The sequence below is a fragment of the Homo sapiens genome, chromosome 4 (assembly GCF_000001405.40).
Source record: "Homo sapiens chromosome 4, GRCh38.p14 Primary Assembly".
NCBI classification, from domain to species: Eukaryota; Metazoa; Chordata; class Mammalia; order Primates; family Hominidae; genus Homo; species Homo sapiens.
The window spans coordinates 169,680,433-169,706,010 of record NC_000004.12 but is presented as its reverse complement, the minus strand read 5'-3'; the positions used below and the strand labels follow the sequence as shown (position 1 = coordinate 169,706,010).

Here is a 25,578-nt window from a genome sequence, read left to right as displayed (position 1 = left end):
GTATTTTTTAGGATTTGGGGTCTCACTCAGTTGCCCAGGCTGGTCTCAAACTCCTGGACTCCCATGATCCTCCCACCTCAGCCTCTCCAGTAGCTGGCATTACATGCATGTGCCATCGTGCCTGGCTATTCCTTAATTATAATACCATTTTATCTTACCTCCTTGACTCCAGGCCCCATTACCACTGTATAAGCCATGTTCCCTTGTTAATCTTTCCTAAGTACTACTTTTACTGTGTTGCTCTTTTGCTCAAAAACCTACCAGGGCTCGTCAGTTCATACTGTATTAAGCTGAAGCTCTTCCTTTTGTTTTTTTACCTAAAAATAGCAAGGAGACAGATCCTACCTACTATGTATTACATACCTACCCTATACCAGGCATGTCCTAAGCAGTTTACAAAGACTTGTTTTTAAAACTAGGCACTTATTTTACCAGGCACTATTATAACAGTTTTGCATGCATTTTATCTCATATAATCCTCAAAACAAACCTAGCAGATCACCAGGTGTTATTACTTTTTATATACAGAAAATTAAAACTTCAAGAAGGAACTTTCTCAAAGTCATCAAACTAAAAATGGCAAAGCCAGGACTGCCATAAATCTGACCAACTTCAAATATAAAATCATCCTGACATTAATCAGGTTTCTTGTCTTTTCATAATCTGTTCCTTCTCACTAATCCAACTTCATTTCCCAAAAGTACCCAAAATATACTCTCTAGAGTCAATTTCTTCAAAGCCTCATGAATACAAAATTTATTCCCATCCTCGTTCCTTTGTCTTCACATTATAATCTTCAACAAAGTCACCTTTTCCTTAAATTCTGCTAATCTTTTAAATAAAGCTCATGTTCTACTCTTCCTGAAGTACTTCAGCTCTTTCTTCCCCTATATTCCTACCATACTTAGACTCTTTTAACCTTGTATATATTTGTTAGTATTCCTCACTATTGTATTCTCAGTGTTCATCTTGTCTCCTCAACTTGATTAGAGTCGAGATTGGGTCCATGTTCTTTTTGTATTATGCACTGTATCTAGCACAATGCTAAAAAGAAAGTGGACATTTAATAAATACTTGCTACTTTGGTGAAAATGAGTCTGTCCTTTCCTTTTAATTGATATTACATTTTTAAAGATCAATAATCACATAATTTTTATTCACTAAACAAAACTGGTCAAAATGGCAACCATTAATATTATCACCAGAGTGTAGCTGATATTTTAAATATGAAAAGCAATAACCATTTTTTCCTGCCCTAACAGACATTAAATAGACTCAAGTACTTAATGTAGGTATTTTGCTTTTCTTCTCATTAAAATGAAGTTACCTTTTCTCATTTTGTTACAAATATACCTTAGATGATGGAGCATGGGTAAATACATCTTTTACTAAGGCTAACAATAAATCATTTCAGAACCAAAGTAAACCTACTCTGAAACTCTGTTGCAATGCTAATCTTAGGTATTATGCTATAGTTGTTATAGGTAAGCCAAGATCCTTAACGATGAAAGAATCAAAGACATCTTTGGTCAGGATTCAAATTAAGCTTATGTTGTACTTAGATGGCTTCTGCCATAGTGTATTAAGTTATATTACAATATGCTAATGCCATTAAATTCTTGTATTAACAAATGTTGTAAGACAGAAAACCGGTACTGTATAATACCCTAATAGTACTACTGTTTCTTATCTGTTAAAACATCTCCTCCTGGCACCCTCCTTTACTCAACCAATCCGCCCACCAATTAAGCAAGAATGTGTCCCACTTTCTCTTGGCTCTCTCAGACTTGCAAACATCCACACACAGGCAGACACAGCCATATTACCTAAGCATGCAGCAGCACCAACCATGGCATAAAGGCCAGGTGTAATGCAATCAGCCCCGACCTCACACCACTCCTTAAAGATAAACCAGTCGTGGTGATAGTAGGCAAGCTGCTCCACCGCAATCCCCACAATCCTTCCTGCGATCGCTCCAATGGCCATGCTGGGGATGAACAAGCCTGATGGAACCTATAACAACAACAGAACTCTTTATGGAGCAGAGATCCTCTACTCACATGCCTGAAACTTACATTCTATGCATTTATTTCTAACACTTTTGATTCTTTTCACATTGTATTAATATAGCAAAATCCTAGTACAAATAAAACTAAAGCAAAATCTTGTACCTTAACAATCCCATGAATTCAGTTACAAAACAAACCACATTCTCTAGGCCAAACAGAAAAAAATTCAAGGGTTATTTCCTTTAGCTCAAGGTAGCTCAAGGGTGCCCTAATGTCAGTCCCTAACAAAATTTTCATTAGTCCATGGTGAAATGAAAAAAAAAAAAGAAAAAAAAAAGGACAATATGCTGGATACAATATATACTACTTGGGTGACAGTTGCAGTAAAATCTTAGACTTCACCATTATAGAATTCATCCACGTAACCAAAACCACTTGTAACCCAAAAGCTATTGAAATTAAAAAATATATATTTTTAAAAGTACAATATGAAGTATTTTTCATAAAACTTAACTGATTCAGTTTTAAGCACTGTCTTTTACTTCAAGATTATGTGATTATGTCCTCCTATATATTTACAAATGACGGAAATGGTAGATGCTATTCATCTTAAGTGGTACAATGTTAAGTGGACAAACTTATCAGAGTTGCCCAATATTTTGACTGATATACAGACATATCTTGTTTTACTATGCTTTGTGTTACTGTGCTTCACACATGTTGCAGTTTTCACAAATTGAGGTTTATGACATCCTTGCATCAAGCTAGTCCATCAGCACTACTTTTCCAACAGCATGTGGTCACTTTGTGTCTCTGTATCATATTTTGCTAATTCTCTCAATACTTTGAAAATTTTCACTATTATTATATGTTACAGTGCTCTGTGATTAATGATCTTTGATGTTCCTGTTACAGTTGTTTTACTGCACCATGAACCATGCCCATAGAAGAAAGTGAACTTAATAAGTGTTGTATGTGGTCTGACTGCTCCACTAACTGGCTGTTCCCCTGTCTCTCCCTCTTCTCAGGCTTCCCTATTCCCTGAGACCCAATGATATTGAAATTAGTCCAACTAAGAACCCTACAATGGTCTCTAAGTGTACAACTGAAAGCAGAAGTCACGTCTCTTGGCTGGGCGTGATCCTGCCGACTCAGCCTCGTGAGTAGCTGGGACTACAGGCGTGCACCACCACACCTGGCTTTCTTTTTTTTTTTTTTTTTTTTGTAGAGATGGGTCTTACTATGTTGCCCAGGTTAGTCTCTAACTCCTGACCTCAAGTGATCCTTCTGCCTTGGCCTCCCAAAGCATGGAGATTACAGGCGTGAGCCACAATACCTGGCCATTTTTAGCTGTTGATATAAAGTGAGAGACGTGACTTTTTTTTGAGAGTAATCAAAGACTTTTTTTTTAAGTAATCCTTAAATTATGCCAATCTACTCTCTCTGTGCTCTATAAATGGAATAACAAAGCCTGGATAACAGCATATCTGTTTACAGCATGGTTTACTAACTATTTTAAGCCCACTGTTGAGACCTACTGCTCAGACAAAAAGATTCCTTTTAAAACATTACTCATCACTAATAATGCACCTGGTCTTCCAAGAGCTCTGATGGAGATGTACAAGGAGATTCATGTTGTTTTAAAGACTAATTTTGACTTTTAAGTTTTACTGAAGAAATGCATTTCCTATGGCTACAGCTACCATAGATAGTACTTTTGTTACAGCAGGTAGCTAGTCAGGCATGAGCAGGGCAGGACAGGCATCCTCCCAACCCCACCAGGAATGTCAGGCAACCATCAGGTGATGATGGTGAGACAGCTCTCATGCTCTCTCTCTAAAGTAATAATTGGTTGCAGCCAGCATCAGGGAAAGGCCATCTTCCAATAGATAGAAACACCTGAAACTAGCGATCGGCAGCTTTCCGATAAGATCCCAGGAGTTGGGTGAGTGGGCTCAAGCATGCACATTTAGAGGCAAAATCATGGAGTTTATGAATATGACCTCCTAGGGACATTTGGCTGGTAAGCAACAAACACCTCAGGTAAGCATGCATACAACTCCAGTAAATACACTGTGCACACTCCCCTCCCAAGTGCTAGCAGGCCACTGAGCATGTGGGCAACTCACCCCAAAAGAAGAATCAATGGAATAGGGATGCAAGATGCCAGAAGTATGCCAACATATAAAACCCTAAGTCCAAGGTCAAATGGGGCACTTGTCTTCCAAGATGCCCACTTGGCCCTCTTTCAAGTGTATTTTAATTTCTTTTCATTCCCACTCTAAAGCTTTTTAATAATAAACTTTCACTCCTGCTCTAAAACTTGCCTCAGTCTCTTTTTCTGCCTTATGTCCCTCCGTAGAATTCTTTCCTCTGAGAAGGCAAGAGTTGAGGTTGCTGAAGATCTGTATGGTTCGCCCCTGACAACTTGGAAACCCACCACTGATAACAACTTCTCTGATTGATCCGGGCAAAATAAATTGAAAATGTTCAAAAAGTAGTCACCATTCTAGATGCCATCCAGAACATTCACGTTTCATGGGAGGAGGTCAAAATATCAATATTAACAGGAGTTTGGAAGAAGTTGATTCCAACTCTCATGAATGACTCTGAGGGGTTCAAGACTTCAGTTGAAGAAGTAACTACAGAGTGGTGGAAATAGCAAGAGAACTAGAATGATAAGCGTAGCCTAAAGATGTGACTGAATTGCTAGAATCTCATTTAAAAAACTTGAATGTATAAGGAGTTACTTCTTATGGATGAGCAAAGAAAGTGGTTTCTTGAGGTAGAATCCAGTCCTGGTAAAGATGTTGTGAACATTGTTAAAAGGACAAAAGATTTTGAATTTTCCTTAAACTTAGTTGATAAAGCAGTAGCAGGGTTTGAGAGGATGACTCTAATTTTGAAAAGAAGGTCTACTGTAGGTAAAATGGTATCAAACAGCATCACATGCTACAGAGAAATCTTTCATGAAAGGCAGTGTCAATCAATGCGGCAAATTTCACTGTTATCTTATTTTAAGAATTGCTACAGCCAGTCCTACCTCTAGCAACCACCAATATCAAGGCAAGACCCTACAGAAGCAAAACAGATTACAATTCACTGAAGACTCAGATTACTATTAGCATTTTTTAGCAATCAAGTATTTTTAAATTAAAGTATTACTTTTTTAAAAGACATAATGCTATTGTACACATAAGACTACAGCATAGTGTAAACAGAACTTTTATATGCACTAAGAAACTAAGACTTTTATGTGACTTGCTTTATTATGATATTCACTTTATTGTGGTGCTCTGAACTGAACCTATATCTCTCAGGTAAGTCTATTTATATGAATCAATTAAAAAGAGAAAAATATTTATTGATTAAATTTAATAAGGATAATAAACAGGGATAAGAAGCACCATAAGCAAGATCATTTAAAGACTACTGAAAGAGGCCAGGTTCAGTGGCTCACACCTATAATCCTAGCACTCTGGGAGGCCAAGGCCTCCCAAAGGATCACCTGAGGTCAGGAGTTCCAGACCAGCCTGGCCAACATGGCAAAATCACATCTCTACTAAAAACACAAAAATTAGCCGGGTGTGATGGCCCACACCTGTAATCCCAGCTACTTGGGAGGCTGAGGCAGGAGAATCGCTTGAACCTGGGAGGTGGAGGTTACAGTGAGCCAAGACTGCAACACTGCCCTCTAGTCTGGGCAAAAAGGCGAGATCCTGTCTCAAAAAACAAACAAACGAACAAACTACTGAAAGAGTAATAAACTCCTCTGAATATGAAATGAGCCAAACACAAAATGATGGCATGTACTCTTGAGTCTCTTAGGATCATTAAAAGGATAAACAATAGAAAAAATCAAAGTGTGTTTTACACTCTCTTGCCAGGTATGATCCTTCAGCCAGAGCTGAGTCAAAGGTGGGACTTAACAAAGGCCTGCCAATTGCCTCCAGCTTCTTGTAGTTCAACTGACTGTGAGAAAGTTGGGATTTACCCAACACTTACTTATTGTAGGAAAAAGAGCTTTAACAGCTCTTTTAACTTGATTCCCTAAGAAAAAAAGGTAAAATGTTTAGGCTTTTCTATTACTATTATTATTTTCTTCTTATTATTATTTTTTGAGACAGTGTCTTGCCCTGTTGCCTGGGCTGGAGTGCAGTGGTGTGATCTTGGCTCATTGCAACCTCCACCTCCTGGGTTTAAGTGATTCTCTTGCCTCAGCCTCTCGAGTAGCCGGGATTACAGACACCTGCCACCACGCCTGGCTAATTTTTGTATTTTTAGTAAAGACGGGGTTTCACCGCATTAGCCAGGATGGTCTCGATCTCCTGACATTGTGATCTGCCCGCCTCGGCCTCCCAAAGAGCTGGGATTACAGGTGTGAGCCACTGCGCCTGGCCAGGCTTTTCTATTATTTAACTCTAGATACTCAGTGGACTACAGACTTAGGACAAGAGAAAAGAGACCTTATTTCAAAAACTAAAACCACTCTAATTTTGTAGAAACAAAGCTGTTATTCCACATTAATTTACATCTGTAAAAGCACATCATCACTAGCAAATACTATTACATGAAGTACAGGGGTAGTAATTTAAAGAACAAGAATAAGCTGATATGTGCTTCCCCATATATATCACTGATAGTCACATAAGAAATTATATTTACTGATAGACCATTAATCAACAAATTTTGTTATTTTATAAATCCAAAAGAAGCAATGTCCCAGGGCATAAGACCCAGCTGCCTTAATTTCTTGATGGAAAAAGGCATGTATTTATAGATCTAGTAATTTAACTGAGTCTGCAGTGTCCTTTCAAGCTAATACCCTATACTGGTATGAGGCAGAATAATGGCTCATCAAAGATGTCCATAACTTAATTCCCAGAACCTGTGATTACATTACGTTGCATGGCAAGGAGGAATCAAGGTGGCAGAAAGAAAGTTTCGAAGCAACTGACCTTGAAAAAGGAGATTATTTTCTGATTTATCTGCGTGGGCCTAAAGTAATCACAAAGGTTTTTCAAATGTGGAAGGGAGATTTAGCAGAGTTTGGGTCAGGGTGATGAGACAAGAGAAAGACTTGACCAGCTACTGCTGGCTTTGAAGATGCAAATAGACAGCCAGGAGCCAAGGAATGCTGGCAGCTTTTAATAGCCAGAAAAGGCAAAAAACAAGACTCTCTCCTACAGCCTCCAGAATGCCCTACGAACACCTTAATTTTAGCACAGTGAGATCCGTTTCAGACTTTTGATTTGCAGAACTGTAAGATATTAAATTTGTGTGGCTTTTAAGCCATTAAGTTGTGGTAATTTATTACAGCAGCAATAGGAAACTAATAAAAGTGGTTTTAAAACATGATCATGAATTCTCTTACACTTGTCCCAGCAAGTGTATGTCCCTCCTCTGAATGTGGTCGGGCCTCTGTGACTGCCTCAATGAATAGAATAAAACAAGTCACGCTGCAAGACTTCTTTGGCTACATTAAAAACAGCCCTCTTGGGAATCCTGAGCTATAATATAAGAAATCCAATTCCCTGAGGCCACCACCCTAGAAAACCACAGAGAGAGAGGAAAAAGGAAGCGAGAGAAAGAGAGAGAGACAGCGGGAGTGAGCACAAGAGACACAGTATGCGTGATTGATCCCAGGAGCCCAGGTGTCTGAATTTTTTTAGCCTAGGTGCTAGTCATGAATGAAGAAGTCTTTGAACTATATTCAATAATTTAATTGTACACTTAAAAATAATTAAGAGTGTAATTGGATTGTTTGTAACACAAGGGATAAATGCTTGAGGTGATGGATACTCCATTTACCCTGAGATTATTATGCACTCCATGCCTCTATCAAAATACTTCATATACCCCAAAACTATATATAGCTACTGTGTATCCACAAAAACAGTTTTTTAAAAAGGAAACGAAAAAAAGAAGCTTTGAGATGATTAGCCCTCGCCATGTCTAATAACAACTATATGAAAGACCACAAGCAAAAATTGCCCAGTTGAGCCCTTCCCAAGTCGTTGACTCAATATCAAGAACAAAATAAGTAGTTACCTTAAGCTGCTAAGTTTTGGGGGGTAATTTGTTAAATAGCAACAGATAACATGGTCAACAATATATGCTAAGGAATTATCTTTTTCATTACTTAAAATTAAACTCAAAAGATAAGTACTTTTTTCAGTCATTTATGAAACAACAACCTCTCTCATTCCACATATAAGTTTTGAACATGCCAAAATTACCCAAATATCACCTCACATTAGCACTTACCTTGATGCCAAAAGTGAATACTGTCATTATGATTTTAAATATGAGTGCCAGGCATAACTGCCATATAGCTGAATATACTCCAATGCCTGCTGGACGATCAGGAATGTCATCGACAATTTTACTGGCATTCATGTCATTTCTGTAGTCACAAAGAGAAGAGGATTCCAGGGGACCACAGTCTGTAAAAAGCTCTTTGATCAGTTCACTGGTGTTTAGCCTAGTGTATGGATTAGGGAAGGCTATCACAGCAGTAATGGCTGCAACAATAATGACTTCCAGAACGGGATACTTTCCAAATTTCGTGGACTTGCGTCGACGACACCAGGCAATATTTGCCCTAATGAAAAAGGCTCCCCAAAGCCCTCCAAATACCCCTAGAAGAATAAAAGGAAACAGTTCAAAAAGGTACCATGGTGTATGATACTCCACATAAAAAAGGACCAGACGGCTGTTACCAAATGGATTGATGGACCTCAAAACAAATGCAGCCACTAAAGCAGCAAAAAATGATCTCCATAAAGTTTTGAGAGGAAAATAATAGCTAACCTAAAAAAAAGAAAAGGAAAAGAAAAATTAATGCTATAATTTTATAAGATGTTTCTGATATATTATAACTTGAATGGTAAATATCCTAGCTCTAAATTTTGCTGTAGTTAGAATTTACATGTAATGGATTTTACTGTAATAAGAAAAATTGATGTTATTATTATTTTTGGAGATGGTGATCATCATTACAAATTGACAGTATCAATTGATCATAAATGTCTAATAAATACTAATAGAATACCTAGTGCTGTTTTATATTCAAAATGAGTTTCACATTCAATTCAATCATGGTAGTTAAAAATAAATGTACCATCACCAACTCCTGTTAACTTATAATGCATTTAATTTGCCTCTTCTACATTAAAAAAAAAAAAAGAATACAAACAACTAAAAGAAAAAAGTACATTTAAAAACATCTTGAACTAAAAGAGTTAAATTCATAGAAGTAGAGAGTAGAATAGGGGTTACCAGAGGCTAGGGGTTGGGGAGGTGAACAGGGAAAGGGGAGACATTAGTCAACGGGTATGAACTTACAGAGGAGGAATAAGTTCTGGTGTTCTATTGCACAGTAAGATGACCACAGTTAATAATATGTATTATATATTTCAAAATAGCTAAAAGAGGATTTTAAATGTTCTCACCACCACAAGGACATAATAAATATTTGAGGGATTTGCTAATCACTCTGATTTGATTATTCCGCAATGTATACATGTATAGACACATCACATTATACCCCATAAACAAAAACAATTATTATTTGTCAAAAAAAATTAAAAAAAAATTCCTGGTTACATTTTTATGTAAAAAGAAAAGTCTTAAACACCTATTAAGAAAACAAAAACAAAATAATCCACTGAAGTCACTAAAATTATTTTCTTTAACATCACTAACTGTATCAGAAATAATCACATGGGAAAAACTTTAAAACACAACATAGGAATTGATTAAAATTTTTTAAACAAAAACTACTTGGGAGGCTGAGGCAGGAGAATCACTTGAACCCTGGAGGCGGAGGTTGCAGTGAGCCAAGATCGCGCCATTGCACTCCAGCCTGGGCAACAAGAGTGAAACTCCGTCTCAAAAACAAAAACAAAACAAAACAAAACAAAAAAACCCCACAAAAAAACAGCCTGGCCAACATGGTGAAATTCCATCTCTACTAAAAATACAGAATTTAGCCAATGGAAATAGATTGTTTCACATGTCCTCTATTAAGTCAAATTCACATCTTCTTACTTTTAAATATGTCAACAAAGTTAGATTTTAAATAATTACTAACATTCATACATTAATAAATTTTTAAAAAGTTTCCTCCAGGTATGGAGCATGAATAACATTTACTTTTTATTAAGAATGAGTGGAAAACAACTTTAGAAAAATAAATTTGAAAACAAAGTCTCTACCTATTACATCACCTACAAAACTGAAATGTGTGAAATATATTTGTAATGGTAATTATATATAATTTTAATTGTTGTATTCTTTTCACCTACCTCTTCCAGGCTAAAAAGAACTCCTCCAATTGGTGCACCAAAAGCTACAGAAACCCCTGCAGCTGAGGCAGCTGATAGCACCTAGAAAGAGGATATGGCTTATTTCATAATTTCATAGAAATTCAAACATACCAAATAAAAATTCTTCATGTTACTTGAATTTTCCAAATGGATTTTCTGAATTTAACTTGCATGTTTCCTTGCTCCCTAAGCAAAGGGTAACTATTCATTTCTTCTATTAAGATTTGTTTCTTTCTCCTGGCTTTAATTGAAAGGTCAGTCATGCATTTACCATTCAGTTAAAAAAAATTTTTGCCAGATATACTAATGTGAATAGGGTGTAAAGAGGAGGAGGCAATGAATATAGACAATTTTCAAGACGTATGTTTGTGTAGGTAAGAGGGGAGGGCAGTAACTGGGATGGGGAGCTATTTTTAAATAGGATATCATTTCTTCAAATTTTAGAGCTAACTGCTCCACCATAAATACTCTATTCCAAATCGTAGCAAGATATGCAGGGAACCGAAGACCTTGTAAGATTCCCTATATTTTCACTACCCTATGCATTCTGAAATACTGCTAAAATACTATCAATCTAGAGAGCCTCATTCTGAAAGCACACACAACAGCTCCTCAAGTTACAGTCTCACCAACCAACACCTCTACAAAAAAATTAAAGGAAAAGAAAAATCCAAGGACACTCTTCCGTGTCCTCTCTCCAGCTCCCCAGTCTATCAGTTGGTAATGGTCTACTTCCCACCTGTAAGCCAACTATACCTAACTATACCTATAATTTCACTAGGGTTTTATTTGTAATTATTTTTCTAAGAGTCTGTATTCCTTTATTTTTTTTGAGACAGAGTTTCTCTCTTGTTTCTCAGGCTGGAGTGCAATGGCGTCGTCTCAGCTCACTGCAACCTCCACCTCCTGGGTTCAAGTGATTCTCCTGCCTCAGCCTCCCGAGTAGCTGGGATTACAGGCGCCTGCCACCACGCCCGGCTAATTTTTGTATTTTTAGTAGAGACGGGGTTTCACCATGTTGGCAACACTGGTCTCGAATTCCTGACCTTAGGTGATCTGCCTGCCTCAACCTACCAAAATGCTGGGATTATAGGCGTGAGCCACCGCGCCCAGCCAAGTGTCTGTATTACTTTCACTACTTTAATACAGCAAATATCCAAAGCTACCTAAAGTATTTCTTCAAATGGTCAATTGTTACATTTCCAGAAGAGAAATTATAAATAATAAAAATTAAGCTGTAAATGGTTAAGATCATGAACTCCATAGTCAGGCTGCTGTGTTGAAATCATGGCTCTGCTACTTACTAGCTGTATGGCTATGGGTAGATAACCTAACCTATATGTGCCTCAGTTTTCTCTAAAATGGAAACGTGATAATATTACTTAGCTCTTAAGGACTGAGTAAATATATACAGAGTGCTTTAGAACAGTGCCTGGCACCAGTAAATACTTTATAAAAGTTTGGTGAATTAAAAGTAAATAAATATTTGTTTTAATCAAATTGTTGGCATTAAAATGTAGACTCTGCTTATTTGGGGAGGAAAGGGAGCAAATTTAGCTTCTTTTTTTTTTCCTCCACTAAGAGGAAAGCAAACATATTTATTTGAATGTCCTGATCCTGAATTTACAACCAAACTAACACCTAGGTATCTATAACTCATATACATGTTTTAATCCATTTCATACGTATCTAAGAAGCATTTAATTTAAAAATATCAACGCTCTCCCCTCTTGTCTACACAAAACTATGGGACCTTAATGCTTTCAACTAACCGTGAATTCTTGCCATTTATATATACACTAAGGTGACAGAATAACAACGTATTAAACATTAACTAATCACTACAGTATGAACATTAAAATTTAGGTAAACTTAATTTCTCAAACATCTAATAAATTACATTTTTTGAACTTAGAATAAGTAAAAGTCTTACCAAAAAATATAAAGGTACAACAGAAAGTAATGGAATTGAATTGAGGAGGCAAATGCTCTAGCTTCATCTTAGCCACTAACTTGCTACGCTACAGGATGGTTTTGAGTTTGTTTTGAACACACACAAATATATACCCACATAGTCGTAAGGGCAGTAATGTAAGTAGGTAAGACCACAGACTTTGAAGTCAAAGAAAAATGAATTTTAACCTACGTTCCACCACTTACTAGGTATGTAGTCTCGGGCAAGTTAGTTAGCTGTTTTCAGCCCTAGTTTACTAATCACTAAATGAGGATAACAGGGCCATATTACTAAATTACTGTGAAATTAAGTATTAAAATCCAAGTAAAGTATCTGCCACAGTACCAGATACACAGAAAGTAATCAATAATGCTAGCTATTTTTGTTATAAAGTACTGGAATCACAATTATTCAGAGATGAAACTACGACAATCTGAAGTATTCCACTTTTGGGATATCTACGTCCAATGCAAGGACAATATTTTAATGCGAACATTAAAATGTACTAGAATTATTTCAATTGAAGATTAAACAGTTTGATAAAATATTCTACTTTTTTGGTTACAGTACATTAAAAAACTCAACAAGATGAAAAGGTTCTGCCAGTATTTAATGAGATGTTTTTCAAAAAATCATATCTTAAAAACTCAAAGATCTCTGTACCATCTAGGGCTGTAGATTTAGATTTGGAAAATAGGAAGGGACTGGGCTCCCAAAGTCTAGAGCTAATATAAAGGATTCAGGAAAATGCCCAGAGCAATATGGAAACATCAGAGGAAATCCATAATATATATAAGGTTTCAAGGTCTTGTAGAAGATCTCAGGCTGGCCTAAAGAAATGGTAAAGGAAATTGCCTTAAACAATCAAATGAAAAGGATTTCCTGTAATCTCTTTAATGTGAATTTCTGATTTAAACTTCAAGAGCTTCTAAAGGCCCTCAGAACTTCCCCATAGCACTGGATAGCATTTTTCATATCACACACCACTTACACTGGCACCAGACACTGCCTCCAGGAGGAAAACATAGCTATTAAGATTTCCCAACCTCTTAATGTTGAAAGTAAGAGTGAAAAACAAAGCTAAGCTTAGAAAACACTTCAGAAGAGGAAAGATGTAAGGTAAAGTGATAACAGGAAGATCTTCGTGAAATGCAGCTGAAACCCAATGGACACCAGCTGTCTATCTAAAGCTTCTCTAAAATGTAAGACGAACTGAGCAGCACTGGGAATGGATTCTAGAAAGATGTTATAGATTATTCAGGAAAAACAGAAGCACAAATCTCAAAATTTTTTATCTGAATACAGAATTTATTATTTTTACACTAAGAAATTCTTTACTTAAATAAATACTATATAATATATATTTTTCAGTCAAATTAACTACAAAAGACACTTACCTCCCTTTTTTTAGCTTCGTTTGTGCTATACTTTGGAAAGAGGTAGGAAAAGATATTTCCGCAGCAACAGGCAACATGTACCAGGGGACCTTCTTTTCCTAAACTCAAACCTGATGCCACAGCCAGGACTAATGTGATGGTTTTAATCATTAAAGTCCATTTTCCCAAGTAACCTCTGATGATGAATCCACTTAAAATAGTTTTAATCTACAAGGCAAAGATTAAGGCAGCTTAATGTCCTTTAAGAAACATGAGAATGTAACGAATCCAAGTTATTTTCTTGTTTTATGCACAAAAACAACCTTGCAAATTTTAGCAGTCTACAGAAAAATTTACAGTTAATTTTTCGAAAACTTTGCCTATTATGCTACATATAATAAATTGATATTATAATCTAATTCTCTACCCAAGAAAGGAGAGAGGGCAACACTATCTCAGGAACAAAATCAAAATATCAGGCCATGTTAAAATGAATACAGACCTTAATTATAAGGATTATAATTACATAACCAAAAAAAGGGCAAATTTGAATATTTCTGTTGTAAAAATAAGCATAATATTTTAAATATATTTTGGACATTATGTTAGAAATAAGAATATTATGTTTTCTCTGAGTACTGTAATTATGTGCAATAGTTTTTTATGTATCAAGAATGAGTAACAACTGTTATATACTGCATGATATTGCTTTTTATGAAAGATATTCTTAATACAAACTTAAAGATCAATACAATTCCATTTTAAAAAGAAATGTATTAGGAAAAAGTTGGTAACTTATTTAACTACAGAAAAATAAAAGAGAAGAGATAAGTTCAAATCAAGTTCAATCAATCCTATGTATAACTCTACTTTATTGTGATGAAAAATAAAACCCAAAAGTTTGTACTGTTGACCCACTGTGATTAACTACTTTCTCAAAGCATAAAATGGCCAAATTCAAGAATAATTAACTTATCTAATCAAAAGGTAATTATAAAAAGTGAATGAATCAAAATCAGGGTCATAGCCACGTGTGGTGGCTCACACCTGTAATCCCAGCACTTTGGGAGGCTGAGGCGGGTGATCACTTGAGGTTAGGAGTTTGAGACCAGCCTGGCCAACATGGTGAAACCCCATCTCTACTAAAAAAAAAAAACAAACAAAAAAATGCAAAAATTAGCAGGGCATGGTGACAGGTGCCTGCAATCGCAACTCCTCAGGAGGCTGAGACACAAGAATTGCTTGAGCCTGGGACGCAGAGGTTGCAGTGAGCTGAGATTGCGCCACTGCACTCCAGTCTGGGCGACAGCACAAGACTCAGTCTCAAAAAAAAAAAATTCAGGGTCATAACAGCAAAGTAACAACTAACCCGTCAAAGAACATTAGGTCACAAGATACTTCTTCCAGGCTCTTGATGTTTAACTAAATAGTCTGAAAATTTGCCTAGTCATGTGTTAAATTAGTGGTGAGAGAAAAAAAAAATCAGCCTTCACAGTAAATGACCAAATGACTATGGGGAACAATATTTTTCAATGATGTCTACCATCAGCTTATACTTAAAAAAATTTTTTTTTCATATTATGAACAAACTATCCCCTCCCTCCAGAAAAGCCAACTTTTATTATCACTAAGGTCAAAAAGATAAGCATCATAATAATGTTTAATGACACTAAATATTACTTGGCTTACCTCTGGAATTCCAGAGCCACAGGCATATGGAGCAAATACCTTTACCAGGGAAACTGCAAGAAAGGCAAAACTCAAGGCCCAGAAGATGTACATTATGTAGTTCATGATATAAGAACCAGGACCCTAAAAAGAAAATAGTTCGAGAGTATGAATTTAATTTACATTGCACCTCTAATGCAAATGCTTGTCATAAGAAACTTCAGTAAACGGCCAGGCATGGTGGCTCACGCCTGTAATCCCAGCACTGGGGAGGTTGAGGCGGGTGGATCACCTGAGGTCAGGAGTTCGAGACTAGCTTGGCCAATGTGGTGAAACCCCGTTGCTATTAAAAATACAAAAATTAGCTGGGCATGGTGGCGCACGCCTGTAATACCAGCTACTCGGGAGGCTGAGGTAGAAGAATCGCTTAAACCCCAGAAGCGGAGGTTGCAGGGAGCCGAGATCGTGCCACTGCGCTCCAGCCTGGGCAACAGAGTGAGACTCCATCCCACCGGCCAAAAAAAAAAAAAAAAAAAGAAAGAAAAGAAACTTCAGTAAAATGTGTAAAAGTCTCCTGGTTTATTTCCACAATAATAAAAACTTTATATGAACAAAATATTTAAGTAGAGTCCAAAAATTAATGCCTACATATACCAAGGAACCCTGAGCACATTTAATCTTTTTCCTAATCCCTAAAGTCTTGTTACCAACACATCTCAGCTATACTTCAATCTCTGCCTACAAACCACTTTTTGGAAACAGTGGAAACAAATTGCATCACCACTCAGATTTCATTCTGCTGCAACTTTCCAGATCATTAAACTCAATTCAATTAAGCCAGGTGAGAAACAGCATACTACTCATCTTACCGCAAATGTATACCTTTTAGCTCTAAAGTTCAGCTAAAACAAAATTTAAAAAATATATCCATGTCATCATGTAAAAAATATACATGTAACATCCTAAGTTCTAAAATGTTCTTTGTAGATCATAGTAAATCAATCATTTAAATGCCGTAATGCCACAAATAAAAATGTCTGATTATCTTCAATGTATCTCTACGTAGGTTGATTTTACTAAATTATTTGATAATACTTTCATAATTCAAACTTCCCAATCTTAGTAATATATTAGTTTTAATAACTTGACTTCTTAGTAACTTTACACAGATCTTACTGCAATAACTATCACTTCTTTTCTACTACAGCTCAAATATATTTGCACCACAATCCAGAGGATTTGTTATATGACTATGCAGTTAACTAATAAAAAAGCTACTTGAAACAATATTGCACTTAATTCTTTCTTGCTGCAATGTGTTGAGGGTGGATCCATTTGATGTGTATGTAATCATCTAATATGTGATTAGTTCTATAATTAAATGAATTGGAAACATTTTGCTATATCAATTATTAATTCATCTTGAGACAAAGCAAGACTTACCTCTGCTTGACCTATGATTAATTCTGCCCATGTTTTCCACTGTGGACATTTATCCCTCTCTTCAAATGTTGTTTCATTAGATCCCCAACAGCACTGTTCGTGGTTGTACCACAACGCACTAAGGCAAATGCCCTCCTTTAGGTCAGTCATCCAATCGGCAGCAATGTCTATTAATCCGGCCAGTGCCCCTATAAAAACATGTTGGAGATGGTAAAAAAATTAAGTCAATTTTTTGGGAGTCGAGAACAATCTAGTTAAAAGGCAAGTAGAAAGCAGGAGACTCCTAAATAAAGGGTCATTTATGAACTACATATAAATTTAAGATTTTCAAATTTTAGTTATAAACTGTAAAGAGTTATTTTTTACAATAAAAGTGCTATTTTTGTTTGGAATTTTAAAAAGTTACATCATTCAAATTAATTGTGATCTGAAAAACAATGTTTAAAAGATACTAAAATATCTTCAAAAGACAGCTACTTGGCAGGAGGTTCACAAATCTAATTTTCAATCGATAACTTAATTAACAGACTTATAAATGATGTCAATTTCATTAAAATTTAATGTCCATTAGAAATAATTATTGAAACTCATAGGAATAATATTTTCTTAAATTACAGAAAACCATATATCAAGATTATTTTATTGTGAGAATATAAAAAATACACAAATTTATGGTCAAATCTGGGTCCTTCTTACATAAAGAGATCAGTGGGTTACATACACAGAGGCCATAAAATTACTATGCATGCCAATTAGAATTATCAGTACTTTATTCTCCACAAAAATTTTAATTTTTATGGTCTTCTGAACATAATCTTCCATCATGGAAGCTGAAAGTGATTATAACAGTGCTTAATATTTGTTTTCAGGTCCTCAACAGCTCTTTCTTAAAATCTCACACATTGGGACTTTGTGGCCACGCTGTATAGCAGGGTGATGAAGGGGATAGGTCTTGAGCTAGAAGGCTTTAATTCAAATCCTGGTTTAGCCATTTACTAAACTGTATGACCTCAGTCAAACTAAGTTACTTTTCTTCTGCTTCAGTCTCCTCATCTGCAAAATGGTGATAATGACAGCACTGGTACCACAGGATTCCGGTGAGGTTTAAATACATGTCAAGTTTTTAGAACAGTGTACAACACATAGGAAGCACTCAAGAAATATTAGCTATTTATTACGATGTTAATATCAAAAGATACTTTATTGATCATCTGATCCAAACCACTTATTTTACAGATATAGAAACTGAGTCCAGAAAGATCAACCAAGCTGGATAAACACGTAAAGTGATAGAGCCAAGACTAGACTTGGAAGCCTCTGCCTCCTAGTCTTATATTTAAGGAGATTTTTTGAAGAAGAGAAACAAATGCTTTTTAAAATCCAATGGTACCTGAAAAAAAATTGAGGGAAGGAGGGAAGAACAGTTTATACTTCTGTTAACTAAAAAAGGATTGCTTGAAAAATTTTCTTTACCTGATGCCAATCCTGTTAGTGTTACTACTAGCCATCCTGACCACGCATCATACAAACTTTTTGTCATTTCCCATGCTGATTCTTTCTTTTTGCTGTTGATCTGAAATTAGAAATGTTTATGCTTCATTTTTCCAACTATGAATAGAAGCCACAGTTCTAGAATCTAGCAATTTTTCTCATTTACCATACATAGAACAGTAATTTCAGAACTAAATAATGGAAAAGGTAAGTCTGGAGCAAAATCACTACATTACAGACAGTTGTTAATACCTGTAAACCAGACTACATGTCTTTACCCAAGATCTGCTTTTATTTTTTATTAAAAAATTTTTTTTCTTTCAATGAGACTGGGCCTCGCTATGTTGGCCAGACTGGTCTTGAACTTCTGAGCTCAAATGATCTACCTGCCTTGGGCTCCCAAAGTGCTGGGATTACAGGTGTGAGCCACCGTGCCCAGCCAAGATCTGCATTTTAATAAGAACCTTGAGATTTGAGTGCAAAGGGTCCACAAACTATATAAAATCTGGCCTAGATTGTTTTAAATTGAATCAAATTTGAACCTCAATTGGTACACATAACCATCTTTTATATATGTCTTCTGTAAGACAATATGGTTTGAATTATCGGTCATTCTCTGGTCCTAGCAGTTAAGTGGATTATAATGTTCTTTAAAAGACAGGATCTGTGTATAATAATACCATGTCCATAAATACAATGTATTACAGAATAATCATGTGGACAAAGGGACCCCCCAAAACTTATAGGCCTTTTAATATGCAGGTTTGGAGAGCTCCGATCCCATTGGTAGAGTCCAGAGGCTCTTTCTTTACTGTGTAAGGCAAAAGTGTCCTCTACTGGATATAGTGTAGGAAGTTAGGAGATTAATAAGAGTAATAGATTTGATCCAGATCTCACTATACTAAAACACAAGAAGGTAAGTCTCACCTCTCTTACTAAGAATGTACTTCTAAACCTAAATCCCTAACTAGTCAACACCTCTCTTCTGTTGTACTAGGACTGTTGCTTTAGAAACCCATATTTTTGGCCAGGTGTGGTGGCTCACGCTTGTAATCCCAGCACTTTGGGAGTCCGAAGCAGGTGGATCACGAGGTCAGAAGTTCAAGACCAGTCTGGCCAACACAGTGAAACCCCTTCTCTACTAAAAATACAGAAATTAGCTGGGTGTGGTGGCGAACGCCTGTAATCCCAGCTACTTGGGAAGCTGAGGCAGGAGAATCACTTGAAACCGGGAGGCGGAGGTGGCAGTGAGCAGAGATCGTGCCACTGCACTCCAGCCTGGGTGACAGAGCTAGACTCCATCTCAAAAAAAAAAAAAAAGTCAATTTTCAGCCCAGGACTTCAGTGCTCAACTGTTCTGAAGGAGGGCTACAGCTGGAATTCAATGACCCAGTCTATTTCTTTTTTTTTTTTTATTATTATACTTTAAGTTTTAGGGTACATGTGCACAATGTGCAGGTTTGTTACATATGTATACATGTGCCATGATGGTGTGCTGCATCCATTAACTCGTCATTTAGCATTAGGTATATCTCCTAATGCTATCCCTCCCCACTCCCCGACCCCACAACAGTCCCCAGTGTGTGATGTTCCCCTTCCTGTGTCCATGTGTTCTCATTGTTCAATTCCCACCTATGAGTGAGAACATGCGATGTTTGGTTTTTTGTCCTTGCGACAGTTTGCTGAGAATGATGGTTTCCAGCTTCATCCATGTCCCAACAAAGGACATGGACCCAGTCTATTTCAAGAATCGGGTCTATTTGAAGTCACAACGCCCCACTAAAATGACACGGTAAGTTCTAAGTTGAATGAGGCAATTTTACCCCTTCTACCCTATAAGCAACCAAACACAGATATTAACCATTCTTTAGAATTAGAAATAGGTTATTTCTTTCAAAAATAATCACTAAACTCCATGTTGCTTTTCCTCAATAAAAATAATGTGTAAGAAAACATGATAATATTAAGCCGTTTTCAGGCTGAGTCACTGCTGTTTTCTTTATATAACTGCTTGCACAGCATCATAGTCAGTCACTTAAGTAGTTGCTTGATGGAGTGTACCAAGTAAAAAAGATATATGTACAGAGAGTTCAATCATCACCGTTCCTAAAATCTGGAAATCATTTAAATGTTCATCAACATAGCATCAGATAAATAAATTGCAGTATACCTATGTAATGAGAAATTCTGCAGCAATTAAAAAGAATGAGATATATTTAGCATTATACAGGAAAAAAGCAAGATGGCTAAAAGCATGCTAAAAGACAGGAATATAAATATTTATGCTTATATTTTTAAAAATCAGAAGATAAACCACAAGTTAAAAATGTAAATTATTACTTATAAGGGGAAGAAGACAATGGGTTGGATGGGACAGAGATAGAAACTAGACTTCTTTGAACATGCCTGTTTTGTTCATTTAACTTTGGAACCGTGGAAATACTTCATATATGTATAATAAAACAAAACTAAATCTAAAAAGCAAACCTTAAAAATTGAAGTAAAGTTAAATGAATCAAAGGTGCATCTAACTGGTAACATAATGCCACAGAAGAAACTATTCCAAGGGACTTTACAACAAAGTAATTTGTATAAATAACTTTGGTGGAATAAATAAAGGATAGGCCAGACGTGGTGGCTCAGGTCTGTAATCTCTGCACTTTGGAAGGCAAAGGCAGGAGGACTGTTAGAGGCCAGAAATTTCAGACCAGCCTGAGTAACATAGCAAGACCCAGTCTCTTAAAAAAAAAAAAAAAAAAAAAAATTAGCCAGGCATGGTGGTGTGCACCTGCAGTCCCAGCTACCTGGGAGGCTGGAGACAGATTACCTAAAATTTTTCAGTAGGCATATTGTTGGAGATGGTGTTGGTACTGTTATACTGACAATGTTGTATGTGTGTATTGTGGGGTAAACGAAATGACTATGTTTGTGATGTTCAGATTTTTGGCATGACTTAAAGGAAATGCAGATTTAAGAATTAGAAGTTTAGTCCCATAGTTATGAATTCAAATTAGTACAGTCATATAAACTTAGGAGGCTAGAAACAATAGCCAACCCAGAAGTAACAAGTATCACCTAGTGCCTAGATTGTACCTATATTATATTTTCCTTCAATGGAATCAGAGAGCTCCTTGAGAAATGGCTGATTCCAGGTTTGCTGCGGGAAATGTCTACGATGAATCAGGATTAGGATTAGGATTATCTAAGGACATGACGAAGGACACAGATAGCAAACTAAAAAAGCTCCCACTAATCTAAAATAACATGAACATCAATAAGAATAATAACAGTGATGATTAAACCACAAATATACTTAAATCCATGAGTCCATGAAGACACAGAAAAAAACAACCAAACAAGCAAAAAATCTCATTGGTCAACTTTGAGGATGCTAAGGAACCTAGTATTTCAAGATTTCTCCCTTTCCTGTACCACCCTTACTTCAGGTAATCCAAATGGTTGATGTGGGGTAAACTCTCTATAGAAATATGCAAGCTAATAAATAAAAAAGGAACAACAATTAAACTGCAACCATTTTGTAAAATACTGAAATAGTAATATTTGAAATTACAGAATGACAATTTGCTTCGAAATAATCTGGGGTAGGAAGGCTACAAGCATAACAAAAAAGTTCACGGAAAAAAAGAATTAGGTTGGGTATATGCACTGACATAGAAAGGCTTTAAAATTTAATGTAGGCCGGGCGCAGTGGCTCCCACCTGTAATCCCAACATTTTGGGAGGCTGAGACAGGTGGATCACTTGAGGCCGGGAGTTTGAGACCAGCCTGGCCAACATGGCGAAACCACATCTCTACTTAAACTACAAAAATTAGCCAGTGTGGTGGCGTATGCCTGTAATCCCAGTTACTTGGGGTGCTGAAGCACGAGAGCTGCTTGAGCCTGGAAGGCAGAGGTTGCAGGGAGTCGAGATCGCACCACTGAACTTCAGCCTGGGCAAAAGAGCAAGACTCTGCTTAAAAAAAAAAAAAAAAAATTAATTTTAAGAACAATAGTAAGTATATAAATGTGTGGAATTTTCCAGCTTTAAAAAATCTTGTTCATATAAGCATGGATCAAAATATTGAAAAATATTTGATTGGTCTAGGAAGAGATGATTGATAAAATTAGCTAGGACACATACTGGCTACTTCATATATTGCTATACTATTTGCAATGTTTTCAAGGACTGTACACTAACCATTTACATACTCAGAGAAAAAAGTGTTTTTTGTTTGTTTTGGAGGGTGACAGGGTCTTGCTGTTTCACCCAGGTTGGAGGGCAGTGGTGCAATCATAATTCACTGTAACTTAGAACTTCCAGGCTCAAGGGATCCTCCCACCTCAGCTTTCCGAGTAGCTAGGACTATAGGCGCAAGACACTATACCCAGCTAATTTTTGTTTTGTTGTGTAGAGATAGTCTCCATATTTGCCCAGGCTGGTCTCAAACTCCTGGGATCCAGCGATCCTCTGCCTCAACCTTCCAAAGCACTGGGATTACAGGCATGAGCCACTATGACCAGCCTGTTTTGGTTTCCTTTGATCTCAGTTTTCTCTAAAATTTTATGAACATAGTGTCATGGATACTCTCTAGGTACCACACTTTAAAATATACTTAAATCCCAACCTGAATACTGTTAATGTCTCTGAATGTATACTTCTAAGTACAAATGTATTTACCTAATGATCATACAAGACACAGGATTTATAGTGTGTCTGATCTAGGCACTTTGGATTAAAATAGTGATTTTCAAAGTACGGTCTACTGGCACCTTGGAGGATCCCCGAGACCTTTTCAAGGGGTCTGCAAGATAAAACTGTTTACAAAATAATACAAGACATTATGTGCCTTTTTCACTGTGTTGACATTTTTACTGAAAATGCAAAACCAGTGGCAAAATTGCTGACTCCATAGCAAAAATCAAGCAGTGGCACTCAAATGTACTGGCAGTCATTACATTCTTGACTGCCATGCTTCCCAGTAAAATCAAATAAATAAATCATATTATGCCAGTTTCAAATAAGAGCATCTTTGATGAAGCAGTAAAAACTGCTACGTCTCAATCACTGAGTCTTTTTAATATTTTGTGTGATGAAATAAGAACCATGCATAAGGAACTATGCATAACTACACACATCTGCTGCTTGTGGAAGTATGTATGAAGTTATGTCCTAAAGAAAAGCACTTGCGTAATTTATTTGAGTTGCATAATAAACTAGACACTTCTTACATGGAATGCCATTTTTACTTGAAAGAGTGACATCAAACTATGGTTTTCCAGACTTGGGAATTTGACAGGTATTTTCTCAATAATGAAACCAAGTAATCCTGTCATTTTTAAGTTAAATAAATGTGTATTTGTTTCCAATGATAGAATTTGAGCTCTCCAGTAAAAATCAGAATTTTAGGAAACTTGTATCTATCACTGTGAGGATGATAGGTTCCCAATACTTAGAGTCTTTTCTGAATAGATCAAAGGTAAAATTAACAAATGTGATTTTTAAAATATTGTATTATATTATATAAGTGTCAACATTTAAAAGATCCACATAAATCAGTGAATCAATATTTTCTAAATGATCACTGCATAATGTTACAAAATCATATATTCAAAATCAATGGATTTTAATGTAACAGAAGACAAAGTTCATTGATGCAGTTTCAAAGTACACATTACAACTAATCTTTAAGAAACTAACAACTGTCACTTTAGTGTAGTATCAAAGAAGAATATTTGCAATAATCTTAAAAGACTATTAAAATACTCATAGCTTTTCCAACTATATTATCTGTGTATGAGGTTGAATTTCTTCACATACTTCCATAAAAACAACATACAACATATTGACTGCAAAAGCAGATATGAGAATCCAGCAGTGTTTTATTAAGCCAGACAATAATGAGATTTATAACAAATGTAGCACAATGTCATTCTCTCACTAATTTTTGAAAATATAGTTTCGTAAAAATGTTATTTATGTCAACATGTAATGGGTTTTGTTACTGTTATTTTTAAATGAATTATTTTTTTTTAAAATCCTCAGTTTCAGTGTCTAATATGGTAAATATCCATTGATAAAAACCACGTAAACAAAGCCTCCTTGGAGCTCTTCAATATCTTTTAAGAGTTTAAAGGGGATCTGAGAGCAAAAAGTTTAAGAATCACTGGATTAAAGCACTGGATTTCATGTACTGTATTTTATTTTTAGATATGCCCTAAAGGTAAATACCATCTGATGAATCTCAGAGGCTGTACCTTTCATAAACAATATAATAAAATTTGAATTTCAGGTTCACACACATATATATTAATATGGAAGCTTATAATTTGTGTAAATAGTCATTTTCATTGACAAGTAAATTTCCAACACCAAAATTATATAGGGCCTTTTGAGATTTGGAATTTTATTTTTCAAGAAGATTTTCTACTTTGGGAGGCTGAGGTCAGCCAATCACTTGAGGCCAGGAGTCTGAGACTAGCCTCGCCAACATGGCGAAACTTCATCTCTACTAAAAATACAAAAATTAGCTTGGCATGATGGCACACACCTATAATTCCAGCTACTCAGGAGGCTGAGTACAAGAATCGCTTGAACCTGGGAGGCAGAGGTTGCAGTGAGCCAAGATTGCACCACTGCACTCCAGTTTGGGCAACAGAATGGGCGACGGTCCCCCGACCTCCAAAAAAAAAATTGTTTTTTAAAAAACGTATTTTGTATAAAAACTAGCCAGGCATGGTGGCGTACGTTTGTAGTCTCAGCTACTCAGGAGGCTGAGGCAGGAGCATCGCTTGAATCCAGGAGGCGGAGGGTGCAGTGAGCCAATATCACACCACTATACTCCAGCATGGGCAGAAGACTGAGACTCCGTCTCAAAAATAAATAAATAAATACAAAATAAAAAATGTATTTTGGATTATATTATCAGTAAGTCACGACCACAAACAAAAAGGATCCATAAGTTGTACTTTTATATGTTAAAGCCATTTTTAAAAAAAACAGTAAACCATTACAACACTCAATAAGCTTTATTTGGGAGCCAAATTGAGAAATATCTCAGAATCAAATGCTGGGAAAGGAGATAAAAGAAAACAGCAAAATCCCACAAGACCATCTGCCCCCAGTAGATTTCTTCTTTTTCCATAGGTAAGAGCTATGCAATGAGTTTCCTTTTTTGCCTTAGCTGGTGGGCTGCTCAAAGCCCAAAATCATGCTGACCTCCATATCTGGAACTTGGCTTGTTCTTCCCCCCAACTCCTGTGCTGTATTTTTCCCTTTCCTTCTTATTTTGTCTTCTTATTGTATTTC

At 36.2% G+C, this 25,578-nt stretch overlaps 1 protein-coding gene across 9 annotated transcripts in view; it reads right to left on the bottom strand.

Annotated features, from left to right (window-relative positions):
- Positions 1–25,578, bottom strand: part of CLCN3 (chloride voltage-gated channel 3) — a 103,096-nt gene that overhangs the window by 17,663 nt on the left and 59,855 nt on the right. For 8 of the 9 annotated variants that reach the window (NM_173872.4, NM_001829.4, XM_047449584.1 and 5 more), the window contains 7 exons: positions 18,254–18,353; positions 16,781–16,968; positions 15,359–15,481; positions 13,691–13,897; positions 10,319–10,399; positions 8,277–8,822; positions 1,827–2,013 (listed from right to left, as the gene is read on the bottom strand). In NM_173872.4, the coding sequence (NP_776297.2) occupies positions 1,827–2,013; positions 8,277–8,822; positions 10,319–10,399; positions 13,691–13,897; positions 15,359–15,481; positions 16,781–16,968; positions 18,254–18,353 (1,432 nt within the window). The remainder of the gene's footprint in view (positions 1–1,826; positions 2,014–8,276; positions 8,823–10,318; positions 10,400–13,690; positions 13,898–15,358; positions 15,482–16,780; positions 16,969–18,253; positions 18,354–25,578) is intronic. The other variant, NM_001243372.2, reaches the window with a different exon arrangement.